The sequence below is a fragment of the Homo sapiens genome, chromosome 10 (genome assembly GCF_000001405.40).
Source record: "Homo sapiens chromosome 10, GRCh38.p14 Primary Assembly".
In the NCBI taxonomy this organism is placed as follows: Eukaryota; Metazoa; Chordata; class Mammalia; order Primates; family Hominidae; genus Homo; species Homo sapiens.
In genome coordinates, this window is record NC_000010.11 from 63383739 (window position 1) to 63408578 (window position 24840).

A 24840-nucleotide genomic window follows, 5' to 3' on the forward strand; every position below is an offset into this window, starting at 1 on the left:
AAAAATGTTCTTACTGCCAAAAAACGGTAACAATCATCTGAGCTTTCAGAGAGTTGTAGTATCTTTTTGCCGATAAAGTGCCTTGCCTCAACGTTTTTGGCTGCTGACTGCTCAGGGTGGTGGTAGCTCAAGGTGGGGTGTTTGTGACAATTTCTTAAAATAAGACAACAAAAGTTTGTCACATCTATTAATTCTTCCTTTCATCAAAGATTTCCCTAGGGCATGCAATATTGTTGGCCACTTTACCCACAGCTGAACCTCTTTTGAAACTGGAGTCAATCCTCTCACAAGCTAAGGTTGCATTATCACCAACGGTTAAGTAGTATTCAGTTCTATTTCAAAAAACCATGTTCTTTGCCCATCCATAAGAAACAATGCCTCATCCATTCAAGTTCAACCATGAGATTACAGCAGTTCTCTCACATCTTCAAGCTCTAGTTTTGATTACAAATCTCTTGATATATCTACCACATCTGCAATGACTTCCCCCTTGAAAGTCTTAAACACCTCAATGTTGATATTATGACCTCCTCCCATGAATCATGAATGTTCTTAATGGCATCTAGAATACTGAATCCTTTACAAAAGGTTTTCAGTTTACTTTGCTCAGATCCATCAGAGGAATCACTATCTCTGGCAGCTATAGCTTTACAAAATGTATTTCTTAAATAATAAGACTTGAAAATCAAAATTATTCCTTGATCTATGGGCTGCAGAATGAAAATTGTACTAGCAGGCATGAAAATATTAATCTCCTTGAGAGCTCTTGGGTGACCAGATGCACTGTCAATGAGAAGTAATACTTTGAAAGGAATCTTTTTCTCTGAGTAGTACATCTCAACAGTGGGCTTAAAATATTTAGAAAAACCTACTATAAACAGATGTGTTGTCATCCAGGCTTTGTTGTTCCATTTACAGAGCACCTGCAAAGTAGATTTAAAATAATTCTTAGGGGCCCTAGGATTTATGGAATGGTCAATGAGCAATGACTTCAACAAAAAGTCACCAGTTACTGTAGTCCCTAACAAGAGAGTTGGCCTGTCCATAAGGCTTCTCCATATCAGCAATAACAACGTTTCACTTTCTTATCATCCCTGTGTTTACTGGAGTAGCACTTTTAATTTCCTTCAAAAGCTGTTCCTTGGCAATAACAACTTGTCTAACTGTGTGGTGCTACAGGCCTAGCTTTGTGCTCTGTCTTGGCTTTGACATGCCTTCCTCGCTAAGCTAGCTTTCTGATTTCAAGTTAGAGATGTGTGACTATTCCTTTCACTTGAAAACATACAGGCAACTATAGGATTATTAATTGGATTAATTTCAATATTATTGTGTCTCAAGGAATAGGGAGGTCCGGAGGTTCAAGAAGAGGGAAAGAGACAGGGGAATGGCTGGTTAGTGGAGCAGTCAGAACACACATAGTGTTCTGGATTAAGTTTGCCTTCTTATACGGGTGTGGCTTCTGGTGCCCAAAACAATTACAATGCTAACATCAAAGATCACTGATGACACATCACCATAAGAGATGTAATAGTAATAATAATAAAAGTTTGAAATATCGTGATAATTGAAATGTAACAGACCCATGAAAATATTTTTCCACGTGCAGATGGAAAAATGAAACCGACAGACTTAATAGATGCAAAGTTGTCACAAATCCCATGCCTTCCCTGCCCCCGCCTTTTTTTTTTTTTTTTTTTTTTTTTTTGCTTTTTTTTAAGAGATAGGGTCTTGCTCTATCACCCAGGCTGGAGTATAGTGGTAAGATCATAGCTCCCTGTAGCCTCCAACTCCTAGGCTCAAGCAATCCTCCCACCATGGCCTCCCAAGCATCTGGGACTACAGGTGCATGTTACCATGACCCGGCTAATGTTTCTTTTTTAAATTTATTTTAGACATGGGGTCTTGCTATATTGTTCAGGCTGGTCTCAAACTCCTGGCCTCAAGCAATCCTCTCACCTCAACCTCCCGAGTAACTGGGATTACAGGTGCATGTCATTTCACCTATCATAAAACCTCAAATTTATTTAAAAACATTCAGCATCTGCTAAGTGCAATAAAGCAAACTACGATAAAAAATGTATATTTACTTATATATAGGTTTGTATAACCCAGGATACTCCAGATCCTGATTTGAACAGTATTTTAAGACAATAAAAAGTAGAAAAAAATGAAGAAGAAATATAACAAAAATGTTCAGAGCATATACGGTGAAAACTACAATACACCAAACATGGAAACTTAAGTCTTAAATAGATACACTGTGTTCACAAATGAAAAGATTCACTATTGTAAAGAATAAACTCTCTTTGGATGCAGGCTAACCCTAAAAAATGTGAAACATACACACATACACAGACACACACACACACACACCCCAAAAAGAGTAAGTTATCTCCCAAATCAACAGCCCTGAAGGAAAACACAAGGTACTAGCCGGACCCCACCCTCCCTAGCAGTGGGGTAACTAGGCATTTTCATATGCCCTAAATACAAACTTCACAGACCCCAGAATCTGTACTGTGGGCTACTGCTGCCAGGGTCAACACCCTAGCAAAGTGCACCTGCCCAGTTACCAGTTGCCTGCCTACAGCTGCTCCAACAGAAAGCAACCCACCTTCCCCAGTAGCAGGGCTGCAACATGATGGCTGGAGCCCTCACCTGACCATTCCACTGGTAGTCTGGGGATCATGCCACCCCTGTTGACCACAGCCAGTGCCTGCACAAACAATCAGGGAACCTGAGGACGGGTCTGCTCATCCAAGCTCAGCCCCCTCCAGTATGTAAGCACATTGCTCAGGGTCTGGAGATTACCTTGCTTAGTCTACCACCATTGGTACCTGAGCACTTTTTCCAGGGGCCAGGGTCCATTCAACTGACCACTATCACCAAAGCTGACACCCACCCACATGTGGGCACCTGCAGCAGGCCTGGAGACTGATTTAGTCAGCCTGTCACAACCTCTGCCAACACCAAAGTGAAATGCTTGGGTTCCAGGGGGTTGTCTTGCCACTGCTACTGACATCAACTATGCCACGCCTACCGCCCAGGGCCCAGTAACCTGCCCACTCATTCACCCCACTACTGCCATTCCTGGCACCCAAGCAAGCTGCCTGGAAGCCCAAGAATCGACCTGCACAGACCCACTAACTCTGGTGGCAGCATACGCCACACTGAAGCCCCAAAACAGACATGATCTTCTGACTAACACCAAAGGAGCCCAAAGTGGCCCATGTGGCAACCCATTCCCTAATAAAATGTCACCACAGCTTCCATTAAGAACCACCCACTAAACCACAGAAGAAATCACAGACAACACTGACCCTGTTTAATGCCTAAAAAAATCACATGGAGTCTACACCACTGCATATATCCAGAATCAAAGCAAAAGTGCCCTACCCAACCAACACCACAGATACATCTCTAGGAAAAATTCCTCCCCTATGAAAGGAAATTCAAACTATTGGAAGAAGTGACTGTCAATACCTGATGCATAGATATCAATGTAGAAATAAAAGAAACAAGAAGAAGCAAGAAAATGTGAATCCATGATAATAAATTCAAAGGAACACAGTAATTCTCCAACAACAGATTCCAATCAAAAAGAAATTTATAAAATCTTGGAATTGAAAATATTGATACTAAAGTATTCTGTTACACTGAGACACAAAGAAAATAATACAAAGAAAAGAAAAACAATTCAGGATATGAATGAAAAATTCACCAAAGAGACAGCATAAAAAAGGATGAAACAAATTCGGGACCTGATGTATTCATCGAATCAAACAAAATACATTCAAACCTTCAACAGACTAGATCAAATAGAAGAAAAAAATCTCAGAACTTGACAGACCTTTTGAAATAACCCAGTCAGAAGAAAAAAGAAAAAAAAAATTTTTTTTTTTTTTTTTTTTTTTTGAGACGGAGTCTCGCTCTGTCGCCCAGGCTACAGTGCAGTGGCGTGATCTCAGCTCACTGCCAGCTCCACCTCCTGGGTTCCTGCCATTCTCCTGCCTCAGCCTCCGGAGTAGCTGGGACTACAGGTGCCCACCACCATGCCCGGCTAATTTTTTGTATTTTTAGTAGAGACGGGGTTTCACCGTGTTAGCCAGGATGGTCTTGATCTCCTGACCTTGTGATCTGCCTGTCTCAGCCTCCCAAAGTGCTGGGATTACAGGCGTGAGCCACTGCGCCTGGCCGAAAAAAGAAAATTTAAATTTCCTTAAAGAACGAGCAAATCCTCATCACATATAGGACATCATAAAGCTACCAAATTTTCAAATTTTTTGTGTTTGAGGAGGCAACAAGAAAACTTGAAGGGCTAGAAAGTCTGTTTAACAAAATAATAGATGAAAACTTCGCAAGGCTGGCAAAAAGTTTAGATACTCAGATAAAGCACAAAGATCCCCAAAGGTATATAACTCAAAAATATCTTTTCCAGAGCACCTTATAGTAAAAATGTCACTAAGTCAAAGACAGAGAATTCTTTAAAAAGCAAGACATAACTATCTAGTCACTTATTAATGAACCCCAATCAGACTAACGGCAGTTTCTCTGCACAATCCTTACAGGGCAGAAGACAATGGGATAATAGGTTCAAAAAGCTGAAGGAGAAAAAAAAAAAAGCCGAATATACTATACCAAACAATGTTATCCTTCATAAATGATGGGGAAATAAAGTCTTTCCTAAACAAGTAAAAGCAAGAAAATTCATCATCACTAGACCAAATCTACAAGAAATGCTTAAAGGAGTCTGATGCTGGGAAAATAAAGAATGGTATCTATCATCATGAAAACACACAGAATATAAACCCCAGTGGTAGAGCAAATACAATCAAGGAAGAGAAAAGCCTCAAACGATAGCACTACAGAAAACCACCAAACCACAATGTTAACAAGAAGAGAGAAAGGAACAATGAATACACAAAACAACCAGAAATTAAGTAATAGAATAACAGGAATAAGCCCTCACATGTTAATAATAAAACAGATTAAAGTGTCAGACTAGTTGAAATGATTTAAAATAATGGCACAACTATATGCTGCCCAAAAGAAACTCATCTCCCCTATAAAGGTACATATAAACTGAAAGTAAAGGAATACAAAAGACATTCCATGCAAATAGAAACCAAAAGTGGGGAGAAGTAGCTACAATTAAACAGTCAAAAGCAGTAAAAGGAGACAAGGTAATTATATAACGATAAAAGAGATTGATTCATCAAGAAAATATAACAATTCTAAACATATATGCACCAAACAGCAGAGGACCCAGATGTATAAAGCAAATATTATTAGACCTCAATGGAGACCAGGTGTGCTGGCTTACACCTGTAATCCCAGCACTTTGGGAGGCCAAGGTGGGCAGATCACCTGAGGTCAGGAGTTCAAGACAAGCCTGGCCAACATGGTGAAACCCTATCTCTACTAAAAATACAAAAATTGGTGACATGCCTGTAATCCCAGCTACTCAGGAGGCTGAGGCAGGAGAACCGCTTGAACCTGGAAGGCAGAGGTTACAGTGAGCTGAGATCGTGCCAATACAGTCCAGCCTGGGTGACAAAGTGAGACCCTGTCTCAAAAAAAAAAAAAAAAAGAAAAAGAAAAAAGATCTAAATGGAGAGAAAGAGTACAATAATAATTGGGGTTTCCAACAACCCACTCTTAGCATTAGGGAGATCATCTAGTCATCTAGACAGAATTTTGTTTTTCTTTTTTTTTTCCTTTTTTTTTTTTCCCAAAAACTCACTGCATGCTAACAGACAGAAAATTAGCAAAGAAACATTAGATTTAAACTGCACATTAGACCAAATGGACCTAACAAACATTTATAGAACATTTCATCCCACAGCTAAAGAACACATATTCTTCTCACCAGCAAATGGAAGATTCTCCCAGATAGACCATATTTTTGGACACAAATAGAGTCTCAACAAATTTTTAAAAATTAGAATTGTATCAAACCCTCAGACCACAATGAAATAAAACTAGAAATCAACAAAGAGGAACTTTGGGAAGTGTACGAATACATGGAAAGTGAACAACATGCTCCTAAATGACCACTAGGTCAAGAAAGAAACTAAGGATGAAATCAAATGTAGCTTTACAATAAATAAAAATCAATTCAAAACATACCAAAATCTAGAGAATATTTAATAAAGTAGTGCTAAGATGGAAGTTCATAATTAATACCTATAACCAAAAAGTAACAGAATTTCAAATACAGTGTCAAACCATACATCCCATGAAAACAGAATAGAACACGGCAAGCCCAAAATTAACAGAAGGAAAGAAACAATTAAGATCAAGAAGAAACAAATGCAACAGATACTAACAAAATACAAAGGATCAATGAAATGAAAAACTGTTTTTTGAAGAGATAAACAAAATCAATTAACTGCTTGTTGAGAATAAACAACAAAAAAGGATACCCAAATAAACAAAATCAGAAACGAAAAAAGAGAAATTACAACTGATACCACAGAAATACAAAAGATCATCAGAGACCATTATGAACAACTATACAAAAACAAACTGGAAAACCTTGAAGAAATGGATAAATTCCTGGACACATACAACTACCAAGATTGAATCAGGAAGAAATAGAAAATCTAAACAAACTAATAACAAGTAATGAGGTAAAATTAGTAGTAAAAAATCTCCCAAAAAAGAAGAGTTCAGGATCAGATGGCCCCACTGCAGAACTCTATCAAACTTTGAAACAACTAACACCACTTCTCCTCAAACTAGTCCAAAAAACTGAAGAGGAGGGAATTCTTCCTAATTTATTCTAAGAGGCCAGCATTATATTACCCTAATACCAAAACCAGACAAGAATGCTACAACAACAACAACAACAAAATAAAACTACAGGCCAATATCTCTGATGAACATACATACAAAAATTCTTATCAAAATAGAAAACCAAATTCAACAGCACATCAAAAACATCAAGATCAAGTGAAAATTTTCCCAGGGATGCAAGGATGGTTCAACATATGTAAATCGACAGTCATGAATCATCTTAATAGGCACAGAAGAAGTATTTGATAAAATTCAACATCCCTTCATAATAAAAACTCTCAACATTCTAAGCACAGATGAAAAATACCTCAACATAATAAAGGCCACTTGTGACAAACAACAGCTAGCATAATATTGAATGGGGAAAACTGACAACCTTCCCTTTAAGAACTGGAACAAAACAAAAAAGCCGCCACTCTCTTCACTCCTATCCAACATAATACTGCAAGTCCTAGCCAGAGCAATCAGGCAAAATAAGGAAATAAAGGCATCCAAATTGGGAAAGAAGAAGTCAATGTGTCCCTCTTTGAGAATAATGTGACTGTGTATCTAGGAAAACCTAAAGATCCCACCAAAAACCTCATAGAACTGATCAATTCAGTAAAGTTGCAAGATAAAAAAATCAACAAGCAAAAATCAGTAGCATTTCTATATACCAATAATGCAATAGCTGAGAAACATATCAAGAAGGTGGCCAGGCGTGGTGGCTGATGCCTGTAATCCCAGCACTTTGGGAGGCCGAGGCGGGTGGATCATGAGGTCAGGAGATGGAAACCATCCTGGCTAACACGGTGAAACCCCGTCTCTACTAAAAATACAAAAAATTAGCTGGGCATGGTGGCGGGTGCCTGTAGTCCCAGCCACTTGGGAGGCTGAGGCAGGAGAATGGTGTGAACTCGGGAGGCAGAGCTTGCAGTGAGCCATGATTGCGCCACTGCACTCCAGTCTGGGCGACAGAGTGAGACTCCGTCTCAACAACAACAACAACAACAACAACAACAACAAAAAAGACAATTCCATTTATAATACCTAAAGAAAAAACATCCATGAATAAATGTACCCCAAAAGGGAAAAGATGCCTACAATGAAAACTACAAAACAGATGAATGAAACTGAAGACACAAATAGAAAGACATCCCATGCTCAAAAGAAGAATTAACATCATTAAAATGATCATATTGTCTGAAGCGATACAAAGATTCAATGCAATCCTTATCAAAATACCAACATCATTTTTCACAGAAATAGAGAAAACAATCCTAAAATTCCTATGGAAGTAAAAAAGAGCCTAAGGAGCCAAAGCAATCCTGAGCAAAAAGAACAAAACTGAAGGAATCACACTACACTACCCGACTTTAAAATATATTACAAGCCTACAGTGGCCAAAATAGGATGGTATTGGTTAAATTAAAATCATGTACTAACCAGGCTTTAAACCAAAAGTAAAAGTTGCTAACAGTGTAACATGTATTTAAAACCACTGATTTCTTTCACTGTCGCAATTTCCTCAGTTACAATTTTGCAAACACCGTCTCACAGCCAACAGATTTTTCACTAAGGTTCCAAGAACACACAACACATTATGGAAAAAACAACCATTTTGATAATTGGTATGTGAAAAACTGGATATCCACATGAAATGAAACTGGACCCCTATCTCTCACCGTATACAAAATTCAACTCAGGATGGATTAAAAACTTAAAACATAAGACCCAAACTATAAAACTACTAGAAGAAAACAAAGGGAGAACACTTTAGGACACAGATTTATGCAAAGATTTTATGGCTAAGACCTGAAACTCCAGAGGCGATATAAATAATGATAAATGCGACTATATTAAACTGCACAGTTCTGCACGGCAAAGGAAACAATCAACAGAATGAAGAGACAACCTGTTGAATGGAAGAAAGTATTTGCAAGCTACTCATCGCACAAGTGACTAATAATTCAGAATATATGAGAAACTCAACAGTTTAAAAAAAAATCCCATTAAAAAGTGGGCAAAAGGCCGGGCATGGTGGCTCATGCCTGTAATCCCAGAACTTTAGGAGGCCGAGGTGGGTGGATCATGAGGTCAAGAAATCAAGACCATTCTGGCCAACACGGTGAAACCCCATCTCTACTAAAAATACAAAAATTAGCTGGGCGTGGTGGCATGCACCTGTAATCCCAGCTACTCGGGAGGCTGAAGCAAGAGAACTGCTTGAACACGGGAGGCAGAGGTTGCAGTGAGCCGAGATCACGCCACTGCCCTCTAGCCTGGTGACAGAGCGAGACTTCGTCTCCAAAAAAAAAAAAAAAAAAAAAAGGTGGGCAAAAAAGTACATAAACACACACACACACACACACACACACACACACACACACACACGTGAGCAAAGGACATAAACAGACATTTCTCAAAAGACAACATACAAACAGCCAACACCGTATATGAAAAAAATGAGTCCAGGAGCAGCGGCCCATGCCTGTAATCCAAGCACTTCCAGAGGCCAAGTTAGGGAGATCACCTGCGCCCAGGAGTTTGAGGCCAGCCTGGGCAACATGGTGAAACCCCGTCTCTACAAAAAATACAAAAAATTAGCCGGATGTGGTGGTGGACAACTGTAGTCCCAGCTAATCAGGAGACTGAGGTGGGAGAATCACTTGAGCCTGAGTTGATGAGGCTGAAGTGACCTGTGATCGCACCACTGTACTCCAGCCTGGGCAACAGAGTGAGATCCTGTCTCAAAAGTGAAAAAGAAAATAAAATGCTCAACAACATGAATCATCAGGGAAATGTATATATCTTAACCACAACGAGATCTTACTCGAGTGAGAAAGGCTACTATTAAAAAGACAAAAAATAACAGATGCTGGTGAGGATGTAGAGAAAAGGGTACTCTCATATACTGTTGACGGGAATATAAATTAGTACAGTCATTAGGAAAAACAGTATGGGGACTTCTGAAAACACTAAAAATATAACTACCATATGGTTCATCAATCTCACTACTGGGTATTTATCCAAGGAAAAGATATCAGCACATCAAAGGGATACCTGCACCCCCATTTTATTGCAGCACTATTCACAATACCCAAGATATGGAATCAACCTGTCTATTAACAGATGAATAGGTGAAGAAAATGTAGAATATATACATAATAAAATACCATCAAGATTTTTCTTCATCTACTCAACTATTGGTAGATGAATAAATGGAGAAATGTGGAATTTATATACAAATTTTGTGTACCTTCTAAAATTTACATGGGGGAGGGAAAAGGAAATAGAATTGCTAAATAATTTTGAAAAAGAACAAAGAGTTGCACAGTTCACATTACCTGGTTTGAAGACTGCATATAAAGCTATCGTAAAGGTGCCACGCACAGTGGCTCATGCCTGTAATCCCAGCACTTTCAGAGGCCAAGGCAGGCAGATCACCTGAGGTCGAGAGGAGTTCGAGACCAGTCTGGCCAACATGGCAAAGCCTCGTCTCCATTAAAAATACAAAAAATTAGCAGGGACTGGTAGTGTGCGCACCTGCAGTCCCAGCTACTCAGGAGGCTGATGAAGGACAATCGCTTGAATCCGGGAGGTAGTGGTTATAGTGAGCCGAGACTGCACCACTGAACTCCAGCCAGGGAGACTGAGTGAGACTCCGTCTCCAAAAAAAAAAAAAAAAGGCTACAATAAAGGTATATGGCATCAAAAAAAACTAGACACACAGATGAATAAGAGAATAAAGTCCAGAAACAGATCCAAACAGAACTGACAATTGAATTTTTTTAAAAAATGTGCAAAGGTAATTCAAATGGAAATGGATAGTCTCTTCAACAAATGATACTTCGATAACTGAATGCCTGCAGGGAGAAAGTAAATAAATTCAATCCATACTATATACAAAAATTAGACTGAAATAAATCAGACTTACACGTATAAGGTAAAACTTTGTCCAAGAAAATATAATATTCGTGACCTTGGATTAAGCAAAGAATTCTTAGAAATGAGATCAAAAGCACAATCCATAAAACAAAAAATGTGGGCTGGGCTCAGTGGCTCATGCCTGTAATCCCAGCACTTTGGGAGGCTGAGGCAGATAGATCACCTGAGGTTGGGAGTTCGAGACCAGCCTAACCAACATGGAGAAACCCTGTGTCTACTAATAATACAAAATCAGTCAGGCTTGGTGGCGCATGCCTGCAATCCCAGCTACTTGGGAGGCTGAGGCAGGAGAATCGCTTGAACCTGGGAGGTGGAGGTTGCAGTGAGCGGAGATCACGCCATTGCACTCTAGCCTGGGCAACAAGAGTGAAACTCCATCACAAAAAAAAAAAAAAGTGATGTTAGATGCCATCAAAATTGGAAACGTTTTACTCTGTGAAAATCAATGTTAAAAAAAATGAAAACAAGCCACAGACTGTAAGGAAATACTTACAAATCACGTATTTCACAAAAGACTTGTATCAAGAATATATAAAACACTTTTGAAACTCAATAAAAGAAAATTAATTCAAAAATATGGGCAAAAGATTTGAACATGTACTTCACTAAAGAAGACATACAGGCAGCAAGTAAGCACATCAAAAGATATTAAAAATCATTAATAATTAGAGAAATACAAATAAAGACCACAATGAGCTACTACTACACATCTATTAGAAAGACTAAAATTTTTGGCCAGGTGCAGCGGCTCATGCCTGTAATCCCAGCACTTTGGGAGGCCAAGGCAAGCAGATCAGGAGGTCAGGAGATTGAGACCATCCTGACTAACATGGTGAAACCCCGTCTCTACTAAAAATACAAAAAATTAGCCGGGTGTGGTGGCGGATGCCTGTAGTCCTAGCTACTCAGGAGGCTGAGGCAGGAGAATGGCGTGAACCCAGGAGGCGGAGTTTACAGTGAGCCAAGATCGCGCCACTGAACTCCAGCCTGTGCAACAGAGGGAGACTCTGTCTCAAAAAAAAGAATGACTAAAATTTTTAAAACTGCCCAAAAGAATGGGAAGGATGCAAAGCAACTAACTCTGGATGCTAGTGGGAATGCAAAATGATAAACTACTTAAGAAAAGTAATTCCATACTTAGATATTCACCCATGTGAAATAACCTATATTTACACAAAAACCTGTACATGAATGTTTAAAGCAGTTTTATTTTTAATAGACAAAAGCTGGAAAAAACCCAGATGTCCCCAAAATGAAGTGGGACAAACTGTAGCAGATAATATAATGAAATACTTCTCAGCAATAAACAAACTGTTGATATATGCAACAATAAAGATGAATTTCTAATGTTTTAGTATAATTAAAAGAAGCCTGACTCAACTCTATACACTGTATAATTCTATTCATGCGACACCCAAGAAAAAGACAAGAAAATCTAATGTTCAGAGTTGAGAAAAAAAGACAGATGAAGGTTTCACTACAAAGAAATGGTAGCAAAAGTAATTTTATAGGGGAGTGATTGCACTGTTCTATGTCTTAATCGTCGAAATGGTTACAAGACTGCATTTGTCCTAATTTATAAATTTTTAAAAGTAAGTAAATTTTACTCTAATTAAAAACAAATTAAATGCATAAGTAGAGAATTTATATAAAAAAGTTAAAAAGTGGGAATCAGCATGACTTAAAAAAAACCCATGCCACTCCCTTCTCCCAAAGGCAATGATGATATATATACAGAGAGATTATACTATACATTCTAAATCTCACGTGCCTTTTATGTTAAAGGGTAGAAGAATGAGACAATAATCTCGAACAGAGGCTATATCCTAACACACTGTGGGCCGAAGATTACTGAACTTATACCCCATTATCACAGCACAAATTAGTCCCTGAACAGTATTTCCTAAGAGATAAAAAAGAACAGCCTTGTTAGTTCTCTGACATATTCACCTCCACCTCTCCTTTTTTATTTTTTGCTTTAAAAAGGCAAATATAGGAGTAAAAGTAGGGGTGAGAAAGCAGCTATAGAAACGCTGCCAACTTGAGATTAAAGACATGTGGTGTGCACACAACAAATCAGATGATATACAACGGGCAATGTAGCGAATTTGGTTGAAAGAGAAAGCATTAACAGAATAGTATTCCCTAAATGAAACTGTGGTAAATCTTGGGTCCCAGAAAAGTTTAGGATATGGAATCTTATTTACAAGCTCAGAAACATTCGTTTCCAGGGAAATGTTAGAAAGAATATTTCTATTTTGTAGAGAAGAGAAACTAATAATACAATAGGCACAGAGCATTAGGTATGTCTTGTGATATACTTCCTTAGATTCAGCAAAAAAAAAAAGTATAAAATTTAAAAAAGGAAAGTAACAACTGGTATACAAACTACATCTCAGTTTCATAGAAATTTTCATTTTTTATACCTTCATATCACAGCCACGTTCAAGAAGAACTGGTTTTTGGTTTTTTTTTTTTTTTTTGAGACAGGGTCTCACTCTCGTTGTCTAAGCTGGAGTTAAGTGTCACAATCATGACTGAAGAAAGCTTTTCTAAGACTATTTACATGTATATATTTTTTCAGTAACACTCTATTTTGACAAATTAATGGATTGAATTTTTCCTATCAAACCCTATTAATAATTGTTTTGATCTCTTCATTCTTACTGGATCCACTATAGTGCTTACATTTAATAAATAACCACAGTCTTCAAACAAAAGTAACTATTATTTATTGAACTGATCTTTATTTTATTTTATTTTATTTGAGACAGAGTTTCGCTCTTGTCGCCCAGGCTGGAGTGCAATGGCACAATCTCAGCTCACTACAACCTCCGCCTCCCAGGTTCAAGCAATTCTCCTGCCTCAGCCCCCCGGATAGCTGGGATTACAGGCATGTGCCACCACACCCGGCTTATTTTGTATTTTCAGTAGAGACGGAGTTTCTCCTTGTTGGCCAGGCTGGTCTTGAACTCCTGACCTCAGGTGATCTGTCTGCCTCGGCCTCCCAAAGTGTTGGGATTACAGGTGTGAGCCACTGTGCCTGGCCTATTTATTTTGATCTGACCTTTTTATTTATTGTATTTTTGAACAGGATCTCACTCTTGTCACCCAGGCTGGAGTACAGTGGCACAATCACGGTTCATTGCAGCCTCAAATTCCTGGGCTCAAACAATCCTCCCACCTCAGCTGTCCAAGTAGGTGGGATACAGTCATGTGCCACCACACCCAGGTAAGTTTTTTATTTTTTTCTAGACACAAGGTCCTACTATGTTGCCCAAGCTGGTCTTCAACTCTGAGGCTCAAGCAATCCTCCTGCCTTGGCCTCCCAAAATGTTGGGATTATACAGGCATGAACCACAGTGTCTGGCTTGATCTTTTAACCAATGTTTCATCACCATAAGAGAGTGAAAGTTACAAATAATTAAAGTTCATAAATAATTATTCAGCAATTTAGTCTCTTAATGTGTAACTTTGGAATATCAAAATGCTATTTTGAAAATAACCTAATTGTTCTTTTTAAAATTTTTAACCTTTTGTTACAGAGACAGTAACAGCAGATTTCCAGGTACTCATCATCCAGCTTCAACAATTCTCAACTCATGGCAAACCTTGTGTTAACTGAAAGAAGTATTAATTCTCTAAAACTATCCATTATTTAACAGGCAGTATTCAAGTTTCCCAGGTTGGGTTGTTTGTTTTTCTTGTTTTTACAGTTTGTTCAAGTTAAGATCTAAATAAGGTCCACATATTGCAACTGTTTGATATGACTTTTTTTTTCTTGCTTCCCCAGGTCACCCAACCATATATGACTCTTAAATCTATTATTTATAGGTTCCTCTTGCTTTTTCCCCTTGGTTAAAGAAATAAAGTCATTTCTCCCATACAGCCTTCAATTACCTGTATTTTACTATTCTGTGGCATTTTAAAATATGTTTCTCCATTCTTGTATTTCCAGTAATTGTTTAACTGGAGTATTAATCAAATTCAAGGTTGATAATTAGAAAAGACTACCTCATACATAATACGGTATTCTTCATCAAGAGGCACATATGTGTTGTCTGATTATATTTTTATGTAACAGCAGCCAATGATAATTGTCTAAATCTAGTAATTCACTGAGATTTGCAAATAATGATATTCTAACTATAATTGCTTCATCATTTACTATCTGAAAAAAAATTTTTTTTTTTTTTTTGAGACAGACTCTCACTCTGTCACCCAAGCTGGAGGGCAGTGGCGCAATCTCGGCTCACTGCAACCTCCACCTCCCAGGTTCGAGCGATTCTCATGCCTCAGCCACCTGAGTAACCTGGGATTACAGGCGTGTGCCATCACATCCAGCTAATTTTTGTATTTTTAGTAGAGACAGGGTTTCACCATGTTGGCCAGGCTGGTCTCGAACTCCTAGCCTCAAGTGTGATTCACATGCTTTGGCCTCCCAAAGTGCTGGCATTACACGTGGGAGCCACCGCTCCTGGCCACTGGAATATATTTTAAGTGAGAATTCCCTCATCAAACCTTTCGCTTCTTGGAGGTTGTTTCTAAAAAGAAGAATAAATCCTTGATTTTTATGAGTTTTGAAATCGGTTGGTATCCTGACTTCCCTGAACAGTAAACAATAGATGTTTTTTAGGGAAAGCATCATAAACTTTCCGGATTTAAATAAATGTGATACGTATCAAATCACTGCAGTTGTTATTCTTACTGATGTCAAATTTTCCATCCTTGGTCAGTGAGACAATCTTCAAGGTAGCTCCTAAGTCTTTTAGATACAACCTTAGTAATCTCTTAATAGCTTCTTTGATTCTGGTATTACAAAATATCCCAGGATCATCTTGTCCATTTCCTGCCCCAGACCTGAAATCAACCATATATCCAAGGAACCCTGGTACTTTTCTGCGGGAAACAGTGTTCAGAAACAACAATCAGAGTGCTAGGGGTGCTCATTACTCCTGATTTGGTCACCTTTTCTAGGCCTTTTTACAGTGGTCAGAATTAGTATACTGACACTTTCAAATAAAATTCTACACTGTTTTTCAACCTCCTTGATCTTTTATTTCTCTTATACTGAAAATCTTGTTATGCAACAACATAAACTCATTTACTTTGTCACACAATATATATACAACAGTCTAGAAATAATAATACTAACACTATGATTAAATGGTTTTTATTCCATTCTTTTTGTACAAAGGTATAACCCCCAGGCATATATAATTAAATCACTATGTTAAAAACTCTTAAAATAGTTTCTTCCTATGGTTATGCCACTTAGGCTTCTGTTTCATTTTGCTTTTCCTTTTAGGATTTTTTTTTTTAATGACAAAAACTTCTTTTGGGATTATGTAAAATATTGACATACTTGATTCAAAGTCACATCTAGAAAACAAGGTATATTCGGAGAATTCTAGCTAGTCCTTCTATACCTGTTCCCTATAATAAATTAGTTTTGGGTTAATTCCATTTTTTAAAAAAAAATAAAAGTAGAAACATAGATATACACATGAACACATACTCAAATATATTTACTTAAATAAAAAGCCTACTTTACTCACTGTTCTGTATCTTATTATTTTACTTAACAAAATGTACAGTAGCAATCACAGCTTAAAAGGTATTGTTTTTGATTTTTATACCTACATAATATCCCACTTGGGGCATGAACCATTTTATTCAATCAGAACCCTAACAGATGGATATTTGGGTTGTTTCAATCTTTTGCTACTCTAAATAATGCTGCAATGAATATATCCTTGTGCATATGTCATTTTGTATTTTTGCCATTCTATCTTTAAGGCATACTCCTAAGGTAGGATTTCCTAGATCAAAGATGATGTTGACAAAACCCCATTATAGGAGGTTATACCACTCTGCATTCCAATAAACAACATGTGAGTGTGTCCATTCCTCTCCTCTAGAGTCTCACCAATTGGGTGTGTTGTCCATTGAGGGAAGAGAAGCCAAGTGAGGGACTACCTTATAGGTGAACATTGTTAACTCAGTGTAGTTTGGTTCATTTTTTCCCGCTTATTTTCTAGTTCATTGATTTCTGCTCTTTATTTCCTGCCTTGTTCTTGAGTTTACTTTGTTCTTTTCTGCCTTTCCCCCGGCCCCGAGATGGAGTCCTGCTCTGTCGCTCAAACTGGAGTGCCATGGCACAACCTTGGCTCACTGCAACCTCTGCCTTCCAGGTTCAAGCAATTCTCCTGCCTCAGCCTCCCGAGTAGCTGAGATTACAGATGCAACCACCACACCCGGCTGATTTTTGTACTTTTAGTAGAGACGGGGTTTCACTATGTTTTTCACCATGTTGGCCAGGCTGGTCTCCAACTCCTGACCTTGCAATCCACCCACCTTCGCCTCCCAAAGTGCTGGGATTAAAGGTGTAAGCCACCACATCCAGCCCTTTTTGTTGTTGTTGTTTTTGTTTTGAGGCAAAGTTTCACTTTTGTCACCAGGCTGGAGTGCACTGCAACCTCCGCCTCCCGGGTTCAAGCAGTTCTCCCTTCAGCCTCCTGAGTAGCTGGATTTACAGGTGCCCTCCACCACACCCGGCTAATTTTTGTATTTTTAGTAGAGACGAAGTTTCGCCATGTTGGCCAGGCTGGTCTCAAACTCTTCACCTCAGGTGATTCACCCGCCTCGGCCTCCCAAAGTGCTGGGACTACAGGCGTGAGCCACTGCACCCGGCCTCGTTTCCTCTCTTGCGGTAGAACTTCAGGTCAATTTTTTTTTAACCTCTATTCTTTTCTATTATAAGCATGTGAAGATGCACATTTCTCTCTAATTCCAGTTGAAGATGCACTGGCATATTCTAATTTGCTTTATTTTCATTATAATTCAGTTCAAAAAGACTTAATATTCCTTGTGATTACTTTGGCCAACAGGTTGTCGAAAATTGTTGTGTTTAATGTAAAAATATTTGGGTTTCTTTTTAGATACTGTACTTTTTGTTTTTGCTTGTAGAGCAGGATCTCACGGTATTGCCCAGGCTGGTCTCGAACTCTTGGCTTCATGCAATCCCCCCACCTAGGCCTCTTGTATTGTTACTGATTTCAAATTTAATTCCATTTTGGTCCGAGAATATACCCTTGTATTAATTCTGTCTGTTTCAATGTATTTAGGATTGTTTCATGGCCCAGCATATGGTCTCTCCTGATGAACATACCACCACGTACACTTGAAAAGAGTGTGCATTATGAAGCTTTGGGGATTGTTTTATAAATATCTCCTATATTCTGAATGTTTGTGTCCCCCACTAAAATTCGTATGTGGAAACCTAGTCATCATTGGGATGGTATGAAGAAGTGGGGCGTTCAGGAGTTGACTAACACATGAAAGCAGAGCCTTCATGTATAGAATTAATACCCTAATAAAAGAGGACCCAGCAGGGCACAGTAGCTCACGCCTGTAATCCCAACACTTTGGGAGGCCGAGGCAGGCAGATCACCTGAGGTCGGGAGTTCGAGATCAGCCTGACCAACATGGAGAAACCCCATCTCTACTAAAAATACAAAATTAGCCAGGCGTGGTGGTGCATGCCTGTAATGTCAGCTACTCGGGAAGCTGAGGAAAGAGAATCGCTTGAACCTGGGAGGCAGAGTTTGCAATGAGCCCAGATAGCGCCATTGCACTCCAGCCTGGGCAACAAGAGCAAACTCCGTCTCAAAAAAAAAGAAAAAAAAACAAAAAAAGTGGGCAGGGGATTGTTTTCAAAAGCAAACATACAAAGGGCTAAAAAATGGTCAAAATTCATGAAAAAAATGCTCAATATCACAAATCATCAGAGAAATAAAAAATTAAAACCATAATTTACATATAAAATGAGAAAGTAAGTACATTTACGAAGAATACTTGTAACATTTCGTTAAAATAAACTTTCCACTTTCCCTTTTCTTTTTAAAAATTGTTAGTCCTTTGTGTTGAGTGAATAAATGAAATTGTGACTGTGTAAATGAGCAGAAGCTTAATACCTGATGATATGTAACACTCATCTGAACAGGATGTTTTTAGGAATATCATAATGCCTTATCCCCATTCCCAAAAGCTGTGCAGTCAAGTAGCTGTTTTCTTCATGCCACTTTGGGATAGAAAAATGTGATAATAAACCAACATTTCTGCACTTTAATTCCCTATCATGTTGCACTAAAGTATAAAATAGCCTCCAGAGCCCCAGCTTTAAGCTAGGAAGAGTCCCTGTAACTACAACCATATAATAAACATACTAGAAATTAGACTTCTGTTAGATTCTCACCACTCGATTTACTTTTTAGCAGTTTAATGGGTATATTTTTAAATCTTCCTTTTTGTGTGTGGAATAACATGTTAAAAACCTCAAAAAAGATGTCAAATCATGCCCCTTATTTTAAAATTTAGCATTCCAGGGTACTAGAATAAAATCTAAACTCTTTATGCTAGTTAAGTCCCTGAAGATCTGGTTTCTGCAGACTCCTCTGACCTTGCTAACAACCACTTGTCCCTTACTCTACGGATCAGTATGGTAATCTTCTTCCTATTCCTAAAACATACCAAGCTCATTTTTCCATCACGGTAGAAGGAAAGCATGATTGAAATAATGTTTGAAACCAAAAGAAAGTTAAGGAAAAACTGAGACGGACAGACCACTCTCTGGATCTCTGCTTTTATTTTCTTAAGAGAAAGAGGTTAGTGTCAGCAAGCTGGAAATTTAAGTGTCACCAGGAAAGCCAAGGGATGCCCAAAGCTAGTATAAGTCATCCTACCACTCAAATGTACATTACTTATCCAAACTGTGTAACTTTTTAAAACTTCAGAAACAAACTTCCAAAGTACATTCCAGATAAGTACCAATTTAGTAAGACTGACAATGAATAAAGAGTACTTATAATATTTCTAAAATCTAATAAAGGTGGTACTTAAAATCACTTAAGGTCTTCACATCAGATGATCAAGTTACATAGGTAATACCATATAAGAGCTTGTGAAATGACATATTCAATGTTCTTTGGAATTAGAACCAGAGACATTGAACACAATGTCTTTGAGCCTTAGTTTTCAAGTTAGTCAAAATTAATAGTATTTCAGAGGGCTGTTTTAAGGATTAAGCATGACAACAAAAGGACTTAACAAAGTAACCAACAGACCTTAAGTGCGAACGCTGTTTAAGCATTGGTTTTCCTTTCTTTTTTCCAACTTAAAAGAATGATGTACAGGCCAGGCGCAGTGGCTCACACCTGTAATCCCACCACTTTGGGAGGCCAAGGCAGGCGGATCACAAGGTCAGGAGTTTGAGATCAACCTGGCCAATATGGTGAAACCCCATCTCTACTAAAAAATACAAAAAGGCCGGGCGTGGTGGCTCACGCCTGTAATTCCAGCACTTTGGGAAGCTGAGGCAGGAGAATCATTTGAACCTAGGAGGCGGAGGTTGCAGTGAGCCGAGATTGCGCCACTGCACTCCAGCCTGGGCGATAGAGTGAGACTCTTGTCTCAAAAAAAACAACAACAAAAAACACAAAAATTAGCCTGGTATGGTGGCACGCACCTGTAGTCCCAGCTACTCAGGAGACTGAGGCAGGAGAATCGCTGTAGCTCAGGAGGCAGAGGTTGCAGTGAGCTGAAATTGCACCACTGCACTCCAGCCTGGGCAACAGAGCAAGACTCCATCTCAAAAAAAAAAAGTGAATGATGTACTTCATAAAGACTAGAGAGACAATATTTGGACAGATATTTGTCACCATGATCAAGACTGCACTGTAATGAAACGTTAAAAAGAGTAAGGACACATAAAATGCAGTTATTTAGAGAAACAGCAAATTTGATTTTAGGAAGAACCAACAGATAAATTGGCCAGTCTCATTTCAAAACAAACGAGACCAAAAAAAGCAGAGAGAGAAAAGATATACGACACACTAATATTTTTAATCTTGGCTTTTTATATTCCAGTAGTGGAACCACATGCTAATTTTTTTTTCTTTTTAAACAGATAGGGCCTTGCTATGTTGCCCAGGCAGGCCTTAAACTCCTGAACTCCGGGGGATCCTTGTGCCTCAGCCTCCTGAGTAGCTGAATAACTATAGCTACGTGCTAGCATACCCAGTAAGTATTAAGATATATTTGAGATTTTAACATGAAGAAGTAAAAATTATCTCTTAATATGAAAAAAGAAGAAAAATGAAATTTATGATTGGAATATAGTAACACGTCTGTATAATTTATCTTTTCAAAAACAGATCTGAACAAGAAAGGTTACTGAGTAGCAGAGATGTAAAACATCTAAAATCCATAAAGCCAAGGGTGACAACATAGTAATTAGGGAAGGAGGATAAAGAGAAGCAATTATTAACTTATAAATATGTAACAAAAATTGGTCATATAAAGAATGTTTTAACATTAAATTTTAAAATGAAACAAAAGCAGTACATGGGGTGAAAAGAAATAGCAACTACCTTAACACTTGTTCTAAGTCCATTTTCTGAAGAAATTCAATCCAAAAAGTAGGAGTCTTTGCTATTTACCAGCTGCAATGTTTAAGGATCAACATGATACAATTAGTTCTTGCTCCCAAGGATAACTACAATTATATTTCAAACAGAGTGCAAGGATAAATATGTGAATAGCAATCCTTATAAAAATACTACCATCATATAACTTTTTAAATTTAAGAAGTTTATACAACACATGTATGTACATTCTCTCACTTCATTTTTAGCACCTCAATTCTCTCAATTAAATCCTATAAAGTAGGTATTAAATATGTTTTTCAGATGAGAACTCAAGACCCAAAAAGATTAAGTGATTTATCTGTTACACAGCTAATACATGGGAGAGTCAGAATTCAAACCTGAGTCTACTTTAATACCACATGTAGATTTTTTTTTTTTTTTTTTTTTTGAGATGGAGTCTTGCTCTGTTGTCCATGCTGGAGTACAGTGGCATGATCTCAGCTCACTGCAACCTCTGCCTCCAAAGCTCAAGCGATTCTCATGCCTCAGCCTCCCAAGTAGCTGGGATTACAGGTGTGCGCCACCAAGCTCAGCTAATTTTTTTGTATTTTTAATACAGACGACGTTTCACCACGTTGGCCAGGCTGGTCTCAAACTTCTGGGCTTGAGTGATCCACCCACCTCAGTCTCCCAAAGTGCGGGGATTACAGGCATGAGCCACAGCGCCCAGCCCCACATGTACATTTAAAAGGAAACAGTACTTGACAATATGGATGGGAGACAAAAAAGCAAAAGATGTATTTTTTAATTCTATAGATGTCAATAATTCTAATAAGAAAATGCAGCAGACATTTCCTGTGAAAGTAGTAACTCTAGTAGTAAAAAGTAATATCAATATTTGATTTCTCAGGGCCTGACATACATTAGGAACTTACTGTCAGTGGACTGAATAAATGAAGGGGATGAGTAAAACAATGAGGCTACATAGTTTCTGGTGTCCAATTTTTAAAGGACATATATATAACAGGAGAGAAACAAATATGCATATATACAGATTAATATCATCAATCTTATAAGAACGTTATCAGAACAAACTACATTTTATAAGTAATACAAAGGAAAACCAAACAAGCCCATTGCCTGCATAAATTCAGGAGGCTAAACTAAGAAGAAACAAGAATATTACATGGGAAAGATGGTGTAATATTAACAGATGCAGACAAAATAAACAACTACTCACACCTCCTGCTTTGTATCCATCTTCTCCACTAAGGAGAATTGAATAAAAAACTGGAAAAGGTAGAAGAAACATAGTTAAAAAGTAAATGAAGAGCAAATAAGAAGACAGAGAATATCTAGTCACTTTTAAATTTAGTTTTTTTCTGTGGAGCTTAACTAATCACAGGTCGGAATTAGGCATGTATGCATCTCCAATGTGTGGAAAACAATACTGGAAGAGAACAGTTTCTAATAAGCAATTTTGGACATGAAGAAAAACGTTTCCTAGAAAATATGTATCAAACAATCACAGAAGTTTCAAGTGTAAAAGTTTAATAATCCATCAATATGTGTCCATATCAAAGTCCAGAAGTTTTTATTTGTAAGATGGTTTAAAGGCATAAAAAAAGAAAAAAGGCTACACCAAGAGGTAATTTTATTTCCCTACAAGTGATGTTAAATTTTTATTATCAATAAATTTCTTCTTTTTAGGTAGGCTAGTATAACTAATCCAACACTAGATTTTTTTTTAAGCAAAATAGTATGGGAAAATATCCTGAAAATATTCTTAGGAATAAAATAAAAAAATAAAAACTCAATAATACAGCACAAGCAGGTACTGATAGCTGGAATAAACAACCATAACTTATAATATTAACCAAGAACTAAAGTAAAATTGATAAAATGTCTTCAAATATATTCCACAGGGCTCTATCATTACACTTCAGTCAAGACACTTACAAAAGTCAAATTGTGAAATGAATGTAGGACTCAAAGAATAATAATTAACATGCTGGATGATGAGGATTGTAAGGTTTCAACAGATTGAAAAGATGGGTAAAATAAACTAATTTTAAAATAACAGCAAAACCAGTGGTAGCTAACTTAGTGGAAAAAAAAAGAAGCTTAATCTAAAGCCAAATATTAGGGAAAGCTGATTAATATGCTAAATTACCAAAGATAAGCTATGCCCCAAAGGTTCAAAAATTGAGTAGGGGTAAAGTAGGGCTAACAGGAAGACTGACCATAGTCTACTGAAGCAGCAGCTAGACTCTCAGATTTCTCCCTGACTCTAGCCTAGCAACTGTCTCCTTTCCCATTATGGTACGAAAAAAAGGTTTATTTCTTAGAAAAGGTTATGAAAGGGTCCCTGGACCAAGAAGCATATTAAAACAGGTTGAGGGCAGAGATTACCATTGAAACAGAAGAAGGATTAAGTGAAAGCTGACATAATGAAATATGTCTAGGACTAGACCCTCCTTTCATCCTCAGTCTTCTTTCCTCATAGGGCATAACTCTGAAAGCCAGATAAAGCACTGACAGATTTCTTTGGAAACCTAACCACTTTAAAAAAATCTAAATATACAGACATTAGGTATTCCCCTATGGAAATGAGCAGATCTCAAATAGATAAGATGACATCCAACAAAGTCCACCCACATGCTCAGAGTTTCCAATGTACTTTTTTAGTGTTACTCTATTACATACAAGTAGTCTGAAAGAATTGTCAGGAATTTCATTTGAAGAAAACATTAGACATAAAATACAGAGACTAAAATATACATAGGGAAAAATGACAGGAAGAAAATAGACCAAAGAGAAGAAAACAAAACATTAAAAAAAAAAAGAATATTCTGAATGAGGTAAGAGGAAAATACCATAATCAAAAGCAAAAGGATGCTATCAAAATACAACAATCTGGAGAAACAAACAAAAAAAAAAACAGAAAAAAATCTTTAGCAAATTAAATTATGATAGCAGAAATAAAAAATACAATAGGTTTAGAAAAGGAAGCTGAAAATTTTTCCAAGTAGAACATAAAGGATATAGGAGACAAAGGGAAAAACAGAATCAGTGTGGTTCAATATCCCAACACAAGTTTCAGAAAAGAGAAACGTAACAGAGAAAAAAGAGAATCTTAGAAACAATTCAGAAAAACTTTTCAGAACTAACACTCATAAATTTCAAAACTGAAAAGCAACTCCTCAAAAGCTAAGCACAACAGATAAAAATCACCTGGTGCAGTGGCTCATGCCTGTAATCCCAGCACTATGGGAGGCCGAGGCAGGTGGATCACGAGGTCAGGAGATCAAGACCATCCTGGCTAACACGGTGAAACCCCCTCTCTACTAAAAATACAAAAAATTAGCTGGGCGTGGAGGCGGGCGCCTGTAATCCCAGTTATTCGGAAGGCTGAGGCAGGAGAATCACTTGAACCTGGGAGGCGAAGGTTGCAGTAAGCCGAGATCGCGCCATTGCACTCCAGCCTGGGCCACAGGAGCAAAACTGTCTCAGAAAAAAAAAACAGATAAAAATCAATGTACATCTAGGAAAGTTATTGTGAAATTTCCAAGCAGAGACACAAGAAAAGATCCCACAAGTTTCTTTTATATAAAAGATCAAAAACCAGAACAACATCTGACTTTTTAAAAGCAAATTCAGAATCTGGAAGTCACTGATTAATGCTTCC

The 24840-nt window shown here is 37.8% G+C and overlaps 1 protein-coding gene across 11 annotated transcripts in view; it reads right to left on the bottom strand.

Moving 5' to 3' along the window:
• Positions 1-24840, bottom strand: part of JMJD1C (jumonji domain containing 1C) — a 354666-nt gene that overhangs the window by 216514 nt on the left and 113312 nt on the right. Inside the window, exon 2 of one of the 11 annotated variants that reach the window (XM_017015898.2) lies at positions 21156-24656. The exons of the other annotated variants lie outside the window; for them this stretch is intronic. The gene's annotated coding sequence lies outside the window, so the exon portion shown is untranslated. The remainder of the gene's footprint in view (positions 1-21155; positions 24657-24840) is intronic. 11 annotated transcript variants of the gene reach the window in all.